Consider the following 17,497-nt stretch of genomic DNA (forward strand, 5'->3'; position numbering starts at 1 on the left):
GTAAAAATCTTTTTTGATATAATACCATTTGAAGATACCACTTGGAGGAAGCAAATAAAAGTGGATGACTTAGCAGGAAGCTGTCAGCTGTCAACATGCTACTTCTTAATATATCCTTGGGGCTTATGGGGTCATCCTTTGCATGGATTCCTGCTATTTTGGGCAGCGTGACTGGCTCAGATTCCAAGTCAAATGCTCCCACTGTTTGACCAGTAGGTGGCAGTTCAAAACAACATGAAACTAGTAAGTTCGCAGGGGTTTTAAGAAGTTTCCTCCTCATCTCTTATTATTCTCCAAATAAGATCCAGTTTCCAGTCCCACCTAGGAAGCTCAAGCCTTCACCTGCAGGGGCAGAGCCCCTCATGCTGGGAATGGCCAAGGGGAAAACAAAACAGAACACACTGCGCCTTCCCATGTGCCTTCCCCGGGATAGTTCTTTGTTTCCTTATGCAAGCTCCATGCCCACTGAGGATGCTTACCTCATTGGAATGCGTTCTGTTTTGGTGTTTGGCGCGATCAGAGGCATTTGAGAAAGCCTTGTTGCAACCTTCGTGCTCACAGACGTATGGTTTCTCTCCAGTGTGAGATCTCAAGTGTGTTTTCAAGTTTTCTAGTCTCGAGTAGGCCTTTGTGCAACCTTCAAACTGAGGACAACAGGTAAATCTGGATTACTCTGCACAATGGCAACAGCAGCTTATGCCTAACACGCCCTCCAAGTTGATGAAAAACTGATGTTTCAAGGGTCAGCAGCTTTTCAAAACCCAGGAACAAAAAGTCCACTAAACTCTGCATTTATTGGGATTCAGATGTAGCTTGGTGTAGTTCCAGATAAAGAGTTTTCAGTGCCAGTAAAAGTCCTGAAGTTTTTTTTTTTAATAGACCGCTCAATGTGGACAATGGGTTTCATTATCTGCTCATTGATCTCCTCAAATTCCCACTGATTTCAGATTCAGCACAAAGTTCATTAATATAGCTTTGTGTCCATACAAAGACATGGAATTTGATCATGTTTGTAAAGGGCCTTTAAGATGTAAAGTACCAGGGCTCAGCGTGCCCAGTGCGCCTCGTGGGCACCTCAGTGAAGAATGCACAACCTTGCGGCACCCCCTTCCCATTCCATACGCCTATGCCTGAGGACTCACTAGGAAAGGAAGGGAAAACTTTAAAACCTCGTATAGGGATTAGCTGTTTTAAAAGTCAACTTCAACTCTGTAAGTTGGAAGCTGGCACTTCCCTTTGCCTTCCAAGCCCCGTGGTACCATAAGCTGTTGGGCTGCGGCCAGCAGGGTGGCCCGCTATTCATTCCCAGTGCCAGCCACCACTGCCCCCTTGCCACTGTGCAGAGCTGCGCTGTCCAACTCAGTCACTCAAACACCGAGGCATTTATCACCAGACAATACTCTAGTCCTCTTCTCTTGCCACCCAACCACGCTTCCCCTGAGCTGGTGTCATCAGTTTGCACAGCTCTTATGAGTATGGGGAAGGACCCAAGTGTGCCTGCCACCCACTTCTGTACTCACAGTGCATTTGTGAGGCTTCTCGCCCGTGTGTCTTCTCATATGCACTACCAACATATACTGGGCTTTGAAGGGTTTCTGCTCTCTTGAGCAGTCCAGCCACCTGCACACGAACTCCTTCTTCTCTCCATGAATATGGTCGTTATTTATATGCTGGGGTTTGGAAAAAGAGAGAGAAATCAAATGGAAACGTATTCATCATTTCTGAAGGCGACAGAAGAAAATGCAGAAAATACCCCAATCTTAAAAATTCTAAAGACCACAAGAATAACTTTACCATATTACAGATTATAAAAATTCCAGTTAGTACACTTCTCAAGTAAATTTGCTTTTGCTAACTGTGTATGCATGCTTCCTAACCAGTGGGAGTGGCAAGACCGGGATGGAGCCTGGCATTCCAGGAAATATACTACAGTACACTGGCCATCTGAAGAGCAGAGTTCAATTCCAGGTTTGGGACCAGCTAGTTATGAAATGAGGTGAGCCACTGTTGACCTTTCTGAATCTCTGTCATTTTTCCTTGCCAAGGCTGGCGATTGAGGCTAAACAACTGCAGAGATGTTCTCCAACTCTCACATGCTGGGCCATGGGTTAGCACCGCGGCTTAGGCTTCAAAAAGGGAAGGCACACACAGACATGCACAATTCCAGAACAAAAAAACCAAAAGCACTTGCAAATGAAACTTTAGCTCAGGGTTAATCAGACTGCTTCCTGAATAAGAATTGCAGAGAAAAGAATTATACTGAGGAAGAGGACTGTGTGGTCATCAACAAATAAGTTAGTCTTTCAGGGCCTTGGTTTTCTTCTTGTAGAAAATAAATGACTGGATTCACTAGTTGCTAAGGGACTTTCTAGCTCTAAAATTCTATTAATACAGTTTTTAACATAAAGATGAAGTTCTCTGAATTACTTACCAATTCATGGTTTTAGAATCATTTAATTTCTTGGATTAATACAATTAGGAATCATTAGAAACCTACTGCAGCATGAGAGGAAGAGAAGCTTCTTAATTTGAATCAAATTAAGGTCAATTTCAACAGGTTGAGCATACTATTTCAATGTCCAGCTATGGACTACTGAAGACATTTGCATCCTAGGTTGATGCTGTTGGTCTTTATTTTCTGGTGATTCTACATTTTATTTGCCTTAATTTAAGGCTTGTGGGAACACTTTCTGAAGTATACATAGAACTACATCACCAAAAAACTTCGTTCAATAAGAGAAAGCTCCCTTTGGCTCCATGCCTCGTGTGGTAGTGACACAACCTCTCATTACTTTCCTGCTGAGTCCAGGGCTCCTAAAGCGGTGGTCGCTGTGAGTCTGAAGGTGAAGTTCTGCCCTCAGAGTGTGCCTTTCCCAGTTACTCCACTAGATGGCCTTTCGCTTTAGGTAAAAAAAAGTTTTACAAAAGTAAAGTTTTCTATGCTGTTTCTGGAGTTTAAAACTGGGTGAGGACAGAGAAAAGAAATTGTTGTTCTCTATCTCCTCTCCTTGGAGCAGTTCCCAGAAAAATCTGATGAAGAGCAGAGAGAGAGTGGTACATTGCAGCACACAAGAAGAGAGCCAATGTCCCGTCAGTAGCTCCAAAAATGACACAGAAACTGCAGTGGTTGGGGAGCAACCCCACGGCAAACAGATGTGGGTTTCCTATGAAAAGCCAGCCATGCTCCATGTCAGTGTTTCTTTAAAGTTATGATGATGCACACAGGTATAGGAAGAGAACAGATGTTCTGGACAGGGGTCAACGTTCAATCCGCACGTCTGCTTCTAGTAAGTCTTTGTAGCCCATACACAAGACCAGGGCTTTCCCAAATGTGTGCTGAAGCCCAGCCTTGGAAACCAAGCTCACATCTTACAGAGGGGTTCTATGGATTCTCAAACGGGAGAAAAAGAAATGATCATACAAAAACACTCCCTAACAGTTGCTCTTGGTTCAGTTTTCCAAGTCATTGGAAATAAAGCTTGGATCCTTGGATTAATGCATATGAAAGGGAAAGAAAAAAGGAAGGAAGGGAGGGAGGAAGCAAGGAAGGCAAGCAGAGAGTGAGGGAGACAGAAGGAAAGGGAAGAATAAGGAAGGAACACAGGAGGGAGAAAGGAAAAGGTAAAATTGGGAAACTGAATTATAATTTGTGCTGAGCCAACTGCTTAAGGTTGGATCCATGTCTTATTAGTTCCCTGTTCTCTCTCATGCTTTTATGAGGATGTGCTGGGTGCCACTCACACCAGGCCCTGTGCTGGAGAACATGACAGACATGATTCTTGCCCCAAGGAATTAAGTCTACCAGAGGGAAACAGGTCATGGCTTAAATTACTATACAATTACAGTTGTGATAGGCATTATGAAGGGAGATAACAGGGTTTTATAAAAACATGTAATGGGATCATAAGTCAGTGTGCAGCATCAGGAATCAGGGTCCGCTTCTCCAATGAAGCAGCATTTAGAGCAGGACCTGAAGGATGAGTAGACACATCAGGTGTGCAGGGAAGGATGGGGTAGGAGAATGGGACACTACAGCGGACCGATGACACAGAAGTACCTGCAGAAGAACAGAGCCTGGTGCCTTTGAGGAACAGCGTGAGGGCCACGCATGGCAGGAGAGAACTGGCCAGGGAGAGACTGCCACCACTTGGCATGGCGAGAAGGCATGAGTTTTCTGTGGGTCAAGTGGACATCCATGACGTAGGTAAGCTTGGGTTAGCTTGCCAGGGCTCACCTAAAATGCTGTGTGCTCAGTCATGTCTCCAGCAGTGAGGATGTGGGAAATACCCCTGCATAAAACTCACATACACCCCAGGGGAAAGCCAGGCTTGCATGTCTGCCCCTGAAGAGGAGGGCATCAGGGAAACCTGGTGCTACTCAAGGGAGCAGGGGTGGCTAAGAAGGAGGTGCCAACAGTGGCCAGTAAAAAAAGGGACTCTCATATTTTCCTTTCCTGTCTCATCCAACACACTGGAGGAGCTGGACCCTAGAAAGAAAGGGAAGGCATCTCCTGGCAGCACTCCCAGGCCCCAGCTCCTTTAGGTGAGGTGGCAAAGGGAGGGCAAACAGCCTGCCAGTTCCCTTGAGGCCTGTGCCTCGCTGCTGACAGGGAAGGGAAGGCTCTGGATTGGACCTGAGATTGGACGTTTAAATTGGACACTTTAGTTATCCAAAGTGACGGGGAAGGTATAGAATCTGCCTACAATGGTGTTGAGGGATCCGGCACTGAGCAGAGAAGGGAGAACTGGCAACCAGCGGAGGAGGGCAGTGCCTGGAAAAATCCCAATCATTTCCTATTTATACCGCACCCAGCTTCTTCTACCTTTGCCACTGAGACAATGTGTGGAAATTTGAGTGGCAGGAAATCCCACACCAGTCAGCAAGCATGAACACCCTTGCTGTTGTCTCCATGTGGGGAGGGGTGGGGGAAACTTATGTTGGGCACTTAAAGCAACCTCATTTTCATAAGGTTAGCATCTTGGGAATGTTCCCTTTCCAATCCCTTAGACCCGAGTCCCAACTAATATATTTTTGCAATTTTCTGGAACTGCTCTTAAGTTCAAACTTGCATTGAGACCACAGTTATTTTTCTTTAAATGAAATTCTACACCTAGGAGGCTGGGGAACCAAGTCAATCTTCCTCTTCTTTACTGCTTAAATGCTGCACAGAGGATGTAATCAATTGCTATAAGGAAAAAGGGAGGCATCTCTCTGCCTGTTTAAGCAGTTCAAATGTATTTTAAGCTTAACATATTTCCTAGAACTAGATTTCAAGTGAAAATTAAAATTCTAAGAACTCACAGACTTAACATGTGCATGTGTTCTAAATATTTACTTTCCTTTAAAAAGCTGCATTGGGCCAGGCATGGTGGCTCACACCTGTAATCCCCATATTTTGGGAGGCTGAGTCAGGAGGATCACTTGAGCTCCAAGACCAGCCTGAGCAACACAGCGAGACCCCATGTCTAAAAAAAAAATCAGGGTGTGGTGGTATAGGCTTGTAGTCTCAGCCACTTGTGAGGCTGAGGCAGGAGGGTCACTTGAGCCCAGGAGGTCAAGGCAGTAGTGAGCCAGGTTTGCACTACTGCACTCCAGCCTGGGAGAGCAAGAACTTGTCTCAAAAAAAAAAAAAAAAAAGAAAATACATTGTACATTGCCCTCTGCAGTGAGTGTTCATCTGAGGGCCTATATCACAGTAGGCAGAGCACTGGAGGGCAATGGAGGAAGCATTCCAGACAATTTCTGATGAGTTGTGTACCTTTGGACAGACCAATTCACCTATTTGGCCCTTACTTTTCTCATCTGTAAAATTAGAGTAATGAATTAGATCAGGTGTTGGCAAACATTTTCTGTAAAAGCTAGATAGTAAATATTTTAGGCTTTACAGGGCTGTAAGCAGCCACAGACAACATTTAAATGAATGGGTTATCTGTTCATTTATGAATGTGGAAAACTTTCACGTGTCACAAAATATTCTTTGACTTTTTTTTCAACTTTTAAAAAGTCTAAAAACCATTCTTAGCTCATAGGCTGCACAGAAACAAGCAGCTGGATTTGGCCTATGGGCCATTGACTGCTAATCCCCAAAGTGGATGAGCTCTGTTTCCTTCTCGTACTAACATCTGACAGGTGAGCCCTCAAGCCTGAGAAAGCAAAATTAGAAGGAGGTACGTTCTAGTGCCAGAGAAAAGAAAAGGCAGTAGGAAGGACTGAAAATCAGGATCCTGCGCTATAAAAGGTACCCCAACGAAGGGAGGGCCATACATTAGGCCAAACTTCACTGTTTGTATCATATTCCTAGGACTAAGAAAAAAAAACACATTCTTTTTCTCACCAAAATCCAAGGTAGATAAGAAAAGTGATAGGCAATGAATTCTTAACATTCGATGGACGAATTGACCCCATATGAAGCTGGCCTGAAATTCAATGGGCACGAGTTTATTTGTGGTTTCATTGAAAATTTGACTTCCCAGCAGTGAAAACGTTAATCAAATATATAAATAATTTAATTGGAGGGAAAATAATGCATGATTAAATTCCAAACTAATCCAACACATAGACATGCAATTTGCCAGAGGCCCGAGAGTCAGAAAGAGATAGATGGTGTAAATTACAATGTGGCATGCCAACTCTCTCGGCGCAGCCACTCTGAACTCTCCCTGTCTGAATAAACAGGGCCAGGACATCAGGACCAGGAAATTTCCCCAGAAAAGCCAAGTCCCGACACTGAGCTTCCCGATGGGTCCATGTCTTCAGTTTTCCAATTGGGGCTCCAAGCATTAGCCTTAGGGAACTGGTGACTGAGGAAGTGAACACCTCATGAGCCCATAGCAAACCAATGAAATGATGTTTTTTTAACTGTCATCGAATGGGAGCAAAATGAGCCACGACTCAGTATTTCTTCCACTGTTTCTTCCACTCCTTTGGGGCTCCGGGAGCCCATAGAAAGGTGGGAGAAATCACAAGCTGGTTTAGCAATCAAGGAGGCAGAAGGTGCTTCTTTCTTTTAACGGAGTTTCTTTGGGAAGCCGAGCCCTGGATGTCCACCAAGGAGGCTTGGAGAGCTACAGGAAGAAATGGGAAAGTGAAGCTTTTCTTTCACTAGCAGCAAAATAGATGCCACAATGGACTTTACTGAGCTAATCAGGGTCCTTTCTTCTCACTTTGTTATTTCACTATTAGCTCAGAGCAGGCAGTTTTCCCTTGGTCTGTTCCTAACCCTCCAGATGAAAGGACACATGCAGTCCATGGCTCGCAGCTCTCCAAATAAAGCCGCCGTTCACGCAGCTCATGAGGCTGGGAAGTACACTTCTGCTTTCCTTCAGTCTCCTCTCCACCAATTCCCACTCAGAAACACAGTTCTCTGGATCGATAAGTGTCCTCCCTTCTAAGTGACTTCTTCAGAATGCTACCACAAGGCTCAAATGTGTGTGTGCAAGATCTGCACATCCCCATTCAAACCCTGCCCGAGGGAATCACTAATCCATAGATACACACCTGGCTGCCTCAAAAGTCTGTCCACTCTTTACATCAGCCAGTTTCTTAACATCAAGAAGGTGAATTCCACTGTTGTAATAAAAATATTACCTTTAAGCATTGCTAAAAACAGTGGAGGGGGGAAACGCGAAGCTTCAGGCTCAACCCTCACCAGTTTCCAGACAGCTCCCCTGCGCATGTACTTTTCACGCCAGTCTTTCTGTCAGTATCTAATGTTTCTCAAATCCCACAGAACTGCTTTATCAATTTAAAAGATTTCTACAAGGTACGACGCCAAGTTCATCACAACACAAGCTACATGTAAAAGCAAAATATATGTTCATAGTTTTCAAATACATATGATCTCTCTCACATACACACAAACACCCATGTGCACACACAGGTGGTGTTATGGCCTTCATAGAAAATAGAATAAGGGCTTAGAAAGCAGTGTGTTCCATATATAAACATCTAAGAAAATGGAACAGCCTTTCTGGCTGGTAGTTCACTGGGTTCACTGGTGAGTCACTGGTGGAAGGCTGAGCACACTTGCTCCACCCCCAGTTGTATTTCCAATTCATGCCTTTGCTACATTTCTCTCTCTTGAACCATTAAGATGCCACCATTTGTTGCGGTGATTATATTTTTAAAAGGCAGAAAATAAAACTGAAACATTCTCTTCTCAGAATGTCAAACTGGAAATGTTTGATAGTTTCAAAATCTTTTTATGTTAGTCTACCAGGTGAGCTCATAAATGCAGCTTGAGTTAATTAATACACTGAACAGGATTCGATAATTTGAAACTTCTGTGGGATTTGCTGGGGAAAGATATTAAGAAAGTCTTCTACTTTGACATAAGATGGGATATAAAGAAGTAAACTATTTCAAGTAAGCTCAATTTTCAGTGTTTCTTGACTTTATGTTATAAGCCTATTACTCTTTAGGTAGTATTACTCTTTAGGTAGTAGTCCAGAAATATTTCTGAAAAGAAAAAAATGGGAAAATAATTTAGAATCTATTAAAATTTAATTTATATTAAAACTGATTTGCAAGAAAGACTGAAATGTTTTGCCTAAAAAAACACTTTCCACAAGAATCCCTCAAAACTTCCTGCCTGAAATAAGGTCTATACCCTCCAGTTTTGTGTATTACTTGATAAATGCAACATTTTTGAAAGTTTTACAACTGTCATGATGTGGATTATATTGGGGATACCTTGTAATTGGATTCCTAAATGCTTCACTAGGCAGACATAGAAAAAAACATGAATCACAGACTATCAGGACTGAAATAGGCCTTATATATCAATGTGCACTTTAATTTTAGATAAATAAAATAATTTAAATTGTTTTGGTGGCACCCATCAATCTTCCTTCCTAACAGATTATTTAAAAACCTGAAACAGCCTCTGCTGTGGGAGGGATCTCCCTGAGACTTCACAAAATGCCTGTTTCAATTCAAACTGGTTAATATAAATATCAAGGCATCTTTCAGTTTCTGACATAACTATAAAATTATACCAGAAAATACCCAGAGGACTCAAGACTTTGGGTACAAACCAGCATTCTCTTTATAAAAATAAAGCAATTTCTTATTTCTGATTTGTGAATATTAAGAATTAGGACGAGATAAAAAAATACGCTTCTTGGTTAAAAATGAATAAATAAATGGACTTCTTCCTGGCTGTTATTTGAATCCTGCTTTTAGGTACAAATGTGTAACAAAATTATTTTTTCTTATGTGTAAGAAAGGCAAAGTTCTTTAACAAGGTAGATGTTTTATCTGAACAAAGGGCTTTATAATGTTGGATCTGAAGAAGAGAAATGAACTAACCTAAAATATGACCCCCACCCCACCCCACCCCATCACCTCCCCAGACCTCCCCAAGGAAAGCTGGACTATGCTTCACTGCAGCAGAACACTATCATTTCACATTTAAAAACAAAAGTCTATTAAAAGGAATGAAATACGCATACACATTACAACATGGTTGAACTTTGACAGCATGCTAAATGAAAGAAGCCAGTCCAAGAAAAGATAAATACTGCATGATTCCATTTATATGAGTATCCAGAATAGGTAAATCTATATATTAAAAAAGGTGGGTGAATAGAGAAATTGGGGATGACAGCAAAAGGGTATGGGGTTTCTTTGTAGGGTAAGGAAAATGTTCTAAAATTCATGTGGTATTGGTTGCACAGCTTTGAGAATATATCAAAACATACGAATTGCTGTATACTTTAAATGGATGAATTACATGGTAGATAAATTATATCTCAATAAAGATATTACCCCCCACCCCCACCCCACGCCTCCAAAGAAAAACTCACAAAAGTATACTTGGTGATGAAGTCTGGTACCAGGAAATTGTGGGAGAATAGGAAGAAGGTTGAAGGAACAGCCAGGTAGAATGGAATCTGACTTCCCCAGAGCTACACCTCTCCTTCAGACTGACTGGGGTAGGGCCCGACAAGTGTTTTTCCATGGAAGCACAAGACTGCATCTTAATCACAACTTCTGCTACAACATACACAGACACAGACACAGACACACACACACACACACACACACACACACACACACAGATGGGTTGAGTCAAAGTGGAACCTATTTTATTTTTTTGAGACAGAGTGAGACAGAGTCTTGCTCTGTTGCCCAGGCTGGAGTGCAGTGGTATGATCTCAGCTCACTACAACCTCCACCTCCCGAGTTCAAGTGATTCTTCTGCCTCAGCCTCCTGAGCAACTGGGACTACAGGCATGCGCCACCACTCCCAGCTAATTTTTGTATTTTTAGTAGAGACGGGGTTTCACTGTATTGGCCAGGCTGGTCTTGAGCTCCTGACCTCATGATCCACCTGCCTCGGCCTCCCAAAGTACTGGGATTACAGGCGTGAGCCACTGCGCCCGGCTGTGGAACATATTTTTATGATACAGTATTTTCCAGTGGGTTTCTTACTGGCCTCAGTTAATAACCTGGGAACCTCACATAAATGACGACTTCTCTGTATTCCTCTGTCCTCATCGTCCAAGTTGTAGAGATGAGTGGAAAGATGGAGAAACCTGAACTTTGTGCAGAGTTGTTAACAGAACAAAGCCAAAAAACATCATACGCTAACATCAGTTCAAGTATGCAAAATAGTGCATGATTTGAAAAAGCAGATAGTTTCTAATCCATGATATATTCTAAAATTTACTAAAGATGCTTGAAAAATTGACGCACTGTTAATTCAGAATCTCTATCTTTTCAGTTTTGCTGTTACCTTGGATTATATAATAACTAGGTATAAATGTAAAATTTGTGACATAATTTATCTAGCTGACCCTCCACCCTACCCTAAGGAATGCACATGTCGCAGGCTCAAACTCATATAAATAGAATCACAGTAGTGACTTAATATTAACGTGACCTAAAAACTGAAGGAAATGTGAGTTTTTGAGAAGAGTTTCTAAGAAGTAAATATTCATAATATTGGTTGATGTTATTTATATTATTTAGGTCAAAAGGAAACATCCTCATTCTTCAAAGTGCCTTAAGGGCCCTGCTATGGTCTGAATGTGTCACCCCTGAAATCCATATGTTGAAACTTAATCACCAGTGTGGGTGTATTAAGAGATGGGGCCTTGGCCAGGCACGGTGGCTCACGCCTGTAATCCTAGCACTTTAGGAGGCCAAGGCGGGTGGATCACCTGAGGTCAGGAGTTTGAGACCAGCCTGGCCAACGTGGTGAAACCCTGTCTCTACTAAAAATGCAAAAAATTAGCTGGACATTGTAGCAGGTGCCTGTAATCCCAGCTACTCGGGAGGCTGAGGCAGGAGAATCACTTGAACCCAGGAGGAGGAGGTTGCAGTGAGCCAAGATCACTCCATTGCACTCCAGCCTGGGCAATAAGAATGAAACTCCATCTCAAAAAAAAAAAGGGGGGGGGGGTGGGGCCTTAAGGAGGTGATTAAGAGGGCAGAGCCCTCATGAAAGGGATTAGTGACCTTATAAAGGGACTGGAGGGAGCCCTCTCCCTTTCTGTGTGAGGACACAGCCAGAGGCTCCAGCTATAAGGCATAGAATGAGCCCTCACCAGACACTGAATCTTCTGACGTCTTGACCTTAGACTTCCCAGCTTCCAGAACAGTGAGAAATCAACTTCTCTTATTTATAAATTACCCAGTGTTAAGATATTTTGTTATCGCAACAGAAACAGGCTAAGACAGGCCCCTAATTCCTTCTAGAAACTATAAAAGTGCTCCTTCTCTTAAAATTTTGTTTTCTGAGTTCTAAGTTATTTTACTAAAACGAAAATGTAACTGTTGTCTCTTAAGAGGCTTCTCTTACCATCCAGTAAGTTGCCTTTTGTTAAAGAGCTTCTCAGAGTTTCTTTCCTGGAGTGGCCTGTATTTAAGTCCTATTGTGATTTTACATGGAGAAGTAAAGTGACGTGTGTAAACTATTCTAAGACTCTGTGCACATCGTTTCTACAAGTTACTGAGCAGATTTAATTTTATACCATATCCTTTTAAATATCGACTTTGTTTCAGCCAAATGACAACAAAACCAGTAAACTCTTCTTAAGCAAATTGATTAGGGGCTTAATTACCAAAAAGAAAGATATAGAGTTAAGCAAGTAAGGATTCAGTAGTATCTATTCTAGAGATACTTTTAAAAAAGACTATTAAACACAGATAGGCAAAATTATTTTAACTGTGTAGTCATGGAACGAAATTATTTGGAAAACCATTCTCCAAAGAGGCACCTTCTATTTCATCTCTGTAATGAACAAATCCAGCAAACATGGTAAGAGCCAAGGTTTCTGATTTGAGCTCTAGCCCCAAAGGAGGTGCAGTTAAATCCCAATTTCCTGTTCCACAACTGGCTCCTAGATGAGGAAAATAGAAAGGCCAGAGGAGCTAAGAAAGTGGCTATAAATGCAACCTCTCCGAAGGATCAAATGAATTTGTCACTCTTATGCACGATCATTCCTACAAGTCCAGCATACGGAGAAAGCATTACCATCCATTGCAATTGCATTTATATCCAAGTTAAGGATTTCAGAAGCCAGATTGTATCCCAGAACATTAAAATTCCCTCACCTATGGGCTTGGTTTTCTGCCAGATTCAGAAAAGAGAGTTAATGGATAGTTTCTCTCTACACTAATAGCAATTTTACTATTCAACCTGTTGTCAAAATAATGCTTATTTTGGGCTGGGTGCAGTGGCTCACACCTGTAATCCCAATACTTTAGGAGGCTGAGGCGGGAGGATTGCTTGAGCCCAGGCGTTCAACACCAGCCTGGGCAACATAGTAAGACCTCATTTCTAACAAAAAATAAAAATAAAAATTAGCACACGCCTGTAGTCCCAGCTACCTGAGAGGCTGTAGTGAGCTGAGATTGCACCACTGCACGCCAGCCTGGGTGACAGAGCAAGACTCTGTCTCCAAAAAAAAAAAAAAAAAAAAAGGAAACATAATGCTTATTTTCCTATTAAAACTTTGAAAGGTAGGACGAATAGGTATAATAATATTTATAATAGTACATTTGCACTTTTAACTGTAGGGTGATTAATGCTTGCTTACACACACACACACACACACACACACACAATGACTATCCCTAAGAAGAACAGAGAAGATTTAATTTTTAGTCTCCTTGATTACAAAGGTAGGCACAAAGTTTTCCTGTTGGAAAATCAAGCTACTAGGAGCACCAGTATCTAGAAGTACACAGAACATTAGCCTTTATTTCCTAATTTTTATGATTTCAGCAATCCACATGAAGCCTAAGCATATAGGTATTACTAGTAAAGGATCTGAACATGCAGTGTGATTCCAAGAAAATTCAAAAGTTAAGAATAAAATAAAAAACGTAAATGAAAAACGAGATCCAATTTGAATGGGTGGTCTCTGTCTTCAATGCCCTACGAAAGCAACCATACTCCCTCCACATCACTGAAGTCTGATTCTGAACATTAGAACAATCAGCTCTTGAACTGGCCTTCAAGTTTAGAAATTCTGATATAATTTTGATCACTAAAATATAGGTTAAAATAATCATAGTTACAATAAAATGTATTTGAATTTCAAGTAGATTTGGAGAGAGTATTTTTAATATTGGGAGAAAAGTTGACAATTCGTTTTAATGAAATCTTTTGAAGATGGGAGGTAGAGAAGTGTTTTTGGTACCAGCCACAGTCCAAACTACATCCACGGTCATGGCTCTCCCTGAAGGCCTACTGCTCGTCACATTGCTAAGGGAGGGTCTTACACGGTAAGTGCTGGGAGAACTTTCCATTGGCAATTAAAAATAGATTAAGGCAAGTGTGTGTGTGTGTGTGTGTGTGTGTGTGTGTGTGTAGAGATGGATGGTGATTGCTGATCACAGAAGCACAGGCACGTCTCAAGAACTACTGGAAGAAAGGAAGGAGGCAGGCAAGTAGGCAAAATTATCCCTTTGGAAATCTGCCCACAGTCCCTGCTGAGCTGACGCATTCATTCACTATTCACTCAAAGCTTATTTATGATATGACAGTTACTGTGCTCAACACTGAAAAGGCAAGACAGAATAAGACATGTCCATTGGATCTTATCCAAGGTTGGCTGCGGGAATGCAGAAACGAATACTGTCTAAAAATTAGCCTTCAATGCACGGACACATTTGCTTGGCAATTAAAAGTAAGCTACTCAGAAGAATGCATGATTCTTTTGCTTCACTCATGCTCCCCACATCATAGAAAACTAGCAGGCCCATTGCCCAGGGCTTTTCCAGGTTTGTCCTACCAAACCAAGGTGGAAAGCAAGCCCCTCCGCTTCGGCATGCTTTTCAACCTGTAGAAGTATCAACTCTATCATTTTTCAATCAACTTTTATTCACAAGCCACCCTGGTGTGCAGTACCCTCCTAAACATCTTGACCCCCTATTAACAGTACATCTAAGTATATAAAAGCAAAATCTCCATACACGCAATATGAGTATCCACTACATGTTCTATACCTAGATTGTAATTTTCTTTAGCTTATTAGTAGAAGGCATAGAGTTTAGAGAAAGAGCATAAGCCCAGACAGTAGGCTATAGGGATTCATTCATTTGTGTGCCATGGGCAAAACATATATGAGACATAGGCATTGTGCCTGAGTCTAAATAAGGTGAATGGGAAACAATGGGATAGGCACTAATAAAATAGTGAAGAAGGGAAGGTTTCATAAACAGGGTAACTGAGCTGAATTCAGAAGGAAGAAAGGGAGGCTGACACAGGAAAAAGTGAATTGAGGAAGAAGGGAAGAGAGATACAGAGGCCCAGTGTTAAGAAAAACACAATGTGTTGGAAAATGGTGCCAAGTATAGGATTGGGGAATGTGTGTGCGTGTCTGTGCATATGTGTGTGTATGCATGTGTATGTGTGCACATGCTGGTGAGTGGCTGTAGGATGAGTGCTGCAGAGGCAGCCTGGGGAAAAATTATAAGGGGAGTTGAGTGCCCTAAGGCAACCAGATCCCAGGCAACCAAGAGCAGGTTTTAAGCAGGGCAATGATCAGATTTGTTCTTATAAAAGGTAACTCTGGCAGCATCATAGAGGCACTAAGCAAAGACTGGGCAATGAATCCATCTAGGAGTTGCTATAATCATCCAAGAAAGCTGTGACCTTGAACTACAGCAGTAGCCAGGAGGATGAATAGTAAGGGGCTAGATGTGAAAGACATTATGGAATAATTTGTGGGTGATGAATTAGAGAGAGGAGTAACAGGTGATACCGAAGTCTCCAGCTTGAAAGATCTGAGACAATAACAGTATTGGAGGGCCAGGAGATTTGGTGACGATTACCCTTCTGTGTGGAACATATCATAGTGGAGATGCCTCCAGGACATCTCTGGTAGAGAGATCCCACAGAGAAGACAATCCTGGACATAAAGATTTGAGAATCTAAGAAAGACTGCAGCTGATGCAGGAATGTGGGCCCCTTCCCTACCCCATGTTATCTTTGGTAAACTAAAAAACACCTACACAGTATTTTAAAGATTTCACAAAGCCCAATTTGAAAACCCCTGACCAATGGAGACTGTACAGAGGATGAAAAAGGAAGAAATTGAAAACAATGACGAGACCGGTATTTTAAGAGATAGGGAAACAAAAAAAGAAAGTAAAGGAGAGAACAAAGGACACAGTAAATGGCAGGGGACAGAGCATGTCATCATGTGGGGTGTCTTTGGAGGACCCCAAAAGAAGCGATTAAGGCAAGGAAGTATTAAGTTCTTTGCCAGTGGTAGCTTGCCAGCCCCAGTAAGTTTGGGGGGATCAGACAGGAAAGACAGAAAATGTCTAGCAATATGTTGGAGTGTGGGCTTAAGCAGGAAAACTGGTTCATTTGAAATTACTGTGCTGGAAGGGGCTAAGGAGTTGCAAATAGAAATCAATATAGCACTCGAGTTTTAAGCAGTTTGTTGTTTTGAACCTTTTGTTTCTCCCATGCTGCCTGCAAAATTCAGTTCTGTGCAACAGCCTTTTATCAAGGAGGCCTGCTGGAAAAGTGAGACTGTGACCTCATCCCAGAATACAGATGAGTGGTCACCAGAAGTCAGCTGGATGTGTGACAAAGTGTCCGGCAAGAAAAAAGGTGGAGTGAGAGGAAACCCGAGGACCACACTGACCTGGAGGCACACCTGACCACCCCTGAAACAAGGGAGACAGAGCAGAGCCAGGGTTTTAGAGGAAAATGCCCTCCAGAGGCTGGCAACATAGAGATCCACAGCTGGAGACGTGTGGTCACGTCTAGGATGGGGTCACTGAGCGAGGATAACTTGACCTCTGGCAGTCCTTCTTCAAATGCCACCTCCTTACAGAGACTCATCGCCCCGCTCGATCCTGGTCCTGATGACCCCACTTACTGTCCAACCTCCCCATCCTTGAACTCTCCAAGCCCTACCCTGCTGCTCTCCCTTTTTTCCCGTGGCCCTTATCACTTCCAACACACTATAATTTACTGACTGACATTGTTTAATATTTATTGTCTGCTCCGCCCACCAGAATGTGAATTCCACACAGCCAGGGATTTTTATCAGTTTTGTTCAATGATATGTTCCAAGTGCCTGGAACAATGCCCAGCCTATAGTAGGAACTCAGTAAATACTTGCTGGAGGAATGTGTTATTAGAAATGTGTTATTGAAAACAACAAGCTTTGGAGCCAATGTGGTCCCAGGCCTCAATATACTCCCAACCGGCTGCCTGCCTTAGATTTGTGCTTTGAGAATCAGAAGCCACAGGAAACGGAAGCAATTTCCTGTGATTGCTCTATTCCCCACAATCTGATAAACCTCAGCATCACAGATGCCTGTAGGGTCCACCAAGGAGGGCCTCCTTTCAGACTATAATTTTAGACTGGGGTTCTGAGTTAGTCATGACATAATTCAGAGTTATCTTAGTTGGCTCCTATTTGTTATAAATGAAAAGAATTTTAAAATTTATTTTTGCCCACCATGACAATGTTGACATAACTGTGGGGTAAGGGTTCTGGCATTTAAATGGTAACCCTAACTTTCAATGTTATGTCCCACTGGCTGTAGAAAAAAATAATCTGATGCTTTATCGTAGGTTTCTCTTGAAATAATTCATTAAAGCATCAGATGAAGGAGGAAAAACAAAGACCAAGTTATCCTTGACAAGATTAAGCTGCACTCTATCTCACTGGAATTTGGGCCCCTAGCTATTGTTCTTGTGGACAGTTTGCACAGAGATTTCTTCCCAATGCAATGCTGTCAACGAATAGAAAACTAAAGGGCATATTTCCTCCTTAATCTGCTTGTGGAAATCTCATTCACGGAATAGAAATCTTGCCCCCTATCATGACTAACATGTTTGAAGAGTCAAAAAAGGGAAGTAAGGTTGGTCCTACAGAATTTTCATTGGAGCAATAAAGAAGGCACTTTACCTAGAAACACAGGTTTAAACTTGGCAATTTAAAATAAATAAATAAGGGTGTGTGTGTGTGCAAAATTCTGTGGTCCTTCCAAAGGGGAACTGGGAAGAAAGCCTGCC

At 42.2% G+C, this 17,497-nt stretch overlaps 1 protein-coding gene across 8 annotated transcripts in view; it reads right to left on the reverse strand.

Moving 5' to 3' along the window:
- Window positions 1-17,497, reverse strand: part of GLI3 (GLI family zinc finger 3) — a 303,320-nt gene that overhangs the window by 16,130 nt on the left and 269,693 nt on the right. For all 8 annotated transcript variants that reach the window (XM_047420208.1, XM_047420207.1, XM_047420205.1 and 5 more), the window contains 2 exons: window positions 1,521-1,670; window positions 480-644 (listed from right to left, as the gene is read on the reverse strand). In XM_047420208.1, coding sequence (XP_047276164.1) covers window positions 480-644; window positions 1,521-1,670 — 315 coding nt within the window. The remainder of the gene's footprint in view (window positions 1-479; window positions 645-1,520; window positions 1,671-17,497) is intronic.

Source organism: Homo sapiens, chromosome 7, assembly GCF_000001405.40.
Source record: "Homo sapiens chromosome 7, GRCh38.p14 Primary Assembly".
Lineage (NCBI taxonomy): Eukaryota > Metazoa > Chordata > Mammalia > Primates > Hominidae > Homo > Homo sapiens.